We start from the raw sequence: 2,564 nt of genomic DNA on the forward strand, positions 1-2,564 counted from the left end.
ATATTTATTTGTTTGAGTGAAAAAAAGAAGATAATGAGTCTGAAACTTGTAATCACCAACTAAGCTAGATTTGTAGGGCATATTGCCCAGAGACTACTTTATTTCACTTTGGGAATTAACCCCAGCTTAGCTGCTACCAGCAGGCATCATTGAGGGTAGCATAAAACTCTAACTGAACCTTTCTCTATGAAGGTTAACTGAGAAAACTATGAAAATATACTATTCAGCTGTGGGGCTTGATTTTTTTTCAGAAAAATAAACTCTCTAATTACTAAATTATGTAATATATATAAAAATTCAGTATATACATTTACATCTAATATTAAGAAAATGTCAGTTGGAGCAAAATAATAAAAGCTAATATCAAAGTTGAAAACTGTCATTTTGAAACTTGCACTAGGGGTAAAAGCTATCTAGAGTATGTTATACAGAGATCACCAGATCACCGTGGGCTCCTAGGAACTCCAGGTTTGTTCCTTTTGTCAAATTTTTTCTTTCCACCCACTGGAGAAAACTCCTGTCTCTGCCCAAACCCACACTGCATACTGGTTTCTGGCTCTCTTTTTGGAACTAGTCCCAGGGTATCTGAGGTGTGTGGAGGTTTATTGGTTCAGCCCACTCCAAATTTCTACAAATCCAGGATTCTGTTCTCCAATCAGACACCACTGAGGACTTTGATTGGCAGCTCATCTAATCACAATGCAGGTTTTATCTATTGCAGAGCTCTACATTTGTTCCTGAGCTGGCAAAGATGCCTGGACACATTGAGAATAAAATATCTTCTCTAAGTTGAGTTTTACCTCGCAAAAAACTAAGCAAAGGATCTATAAAGATCATAACACTAAATGCCTTTTATTTTCCTGGGACTTCGTTTTTCTTCATAAGGGCTTCATAGACAGGATACAGCCAGCCCTCCTGTCATTTGTAAGCAACCCTTAACCCCTATACTCTTTATCAACCTCTCCTGCCTGATCAGGGCAATAACTTCATTATTTGACAAGCATTCAGAAAACATCAAAGGGTCATTGCTTTTTAACTCTAGAATTTTTAAGTGTTTGACCATTTGTACATTTTTAACACAAAAACACAGTTTTATGCCAATGGCTTTCTTCCAGTGTGAGGGAGCTTATCTGATAGGCAAGTAAAAAAGGTGATCTCCAAAGAACGACCTTGTGTTCTATTTTAGTCCATTTTTTGTTGCTATAACAGAATGCCTGAGGTTGAGCAATTTATAAAAAAGAGAAATTTATTTATCACCATTCTGGAGGCTAAGAAGTCCAAAACTGAGGGGCCAGCCTTGGGTGAGGGCCTTCTTTTTATGTCATCCCATGATGGAAATTGAGAGGGGGTGTGCGTGAGAGAGAGAGGGAGAAGGGGGCTGAACTCCACTTTTATAAGGAAGCTCCTCCCACAAAAACAGCATTAATCAACTCATGAGGGGATCACCTCTATGACCCAAACACCTCCCATTAGGCTCCATCATCTGAACACTTTCACAGTGGGGATCAAGTTTCTAACACATGAACTTTAGGAGACACATTTAAACCCTAGTATGCTCCATAACAATGAGCAACTGTAGCTTAGAGAGACTCACTTTGCAGTTCAAAAGCTTTTCAAATTTAAGTGTTTTGTCTCAAATCATGTATTGTTTGCTCCCTCACTATTGTAGTTTTGTGACTTTTTCCATTACACAAGGCTTAAGGGGTTAACATCTCCATAATTTCTTTCTTGACAGAGTCTCACTTTGTCACCCAGGGTGGGGTACAGTAATGCAAACACGGCTCATTACAGCCTCAACCTCCCCAGCTCAAGCGATTCTCCTGCCTCAGCCTCTAAGTAGCTAGGATAATAGATGCATGCCACCACACCTGGCTAATTTTTGTATTCTTTGTAGAGATGTGTTTTTGCCATGTTGCCTAGGTTGGTCTCAAACTCCTGAGCTCAAGCAATCCACTTGCCTCAGCCTCCCAAAGTGTTGGGTTTACAGGCATGAGCCACTGCACTCGGCCCTCATAGTTTCTCCATTAATTTGTTTTGCTTAAAGAAAAATAAGCGCTTAAACTATATGGTATAAAATCTGTCTGTCTTGCAATTGCAATTGTCTTTTTAGGATAGCAAATTATAAAAGCATGTGTAAGAAGAAAAACATTTGCTAGCCAAGTTCTACGAGACGGGGCTCTCGTTCTGATTTTCTAGTGCCTTAACTTTTGGTATTACTCCAACCACTTACTTGCTAATTTTTGTCTCATTTTTCTTAGGTAATGTTAGACTAGGTTATCACTAAAAAAATCCTTAATCATAATAGTCTATGAAACTCTAATATTTAGCAAATGCCTTTATAGTAAAAGCAAATTATTTGTTAAGTTATATTAACTTTTTTCATACTACTATTTAATCTAGTAGTGTGACGGACTTATTCTTTGCTGTTACACTGAAAAGTTTGGCTTCTCCTTGGTACACTAAGGAATGCATGTATTAGACACTCAATAAGTAAATGTTGATGAAAAAGAGGAAAAAGGAAGAGAGAGAAAGAGAAGAACGCAAGAAAGTATGTAAACCAGCAG

At 38.0% G+C, this 2,564-nt stretch overlaps 1 annotated feature.

Moving 5' to 3' along the window:
- Window positions 1,268-1,981: an enhancer, noted in NCBI's record as "OCT4-NANOG hESC enhancer chr18:58647560-58648273 (GRCh37/hg19 assembly coordinates)". NCBI's record gives its function as "activates a minimal SCP1, AML or CMV promoter by ChIP-STARR-seq in primed H9 embryonic stem cells {active_cell/tissue: H9 hESC(primed)}" and the evidence as "EXISTENCE:reporter gene assay evidence [ECO:0000049][PMID:30033119]".

The sequence above is a fragment of the Homo sapiens genome, chromosome 18 (assembly GCF_000001405.40).
Source record: "Homo sapiens chromosome 18, GRCh38.p14 Primary Assembly".
NCBI lineage: Eukaryota > Metazoa > Chordata > Mammalia > Primates > Hominidae > Homo > Homo sapiens.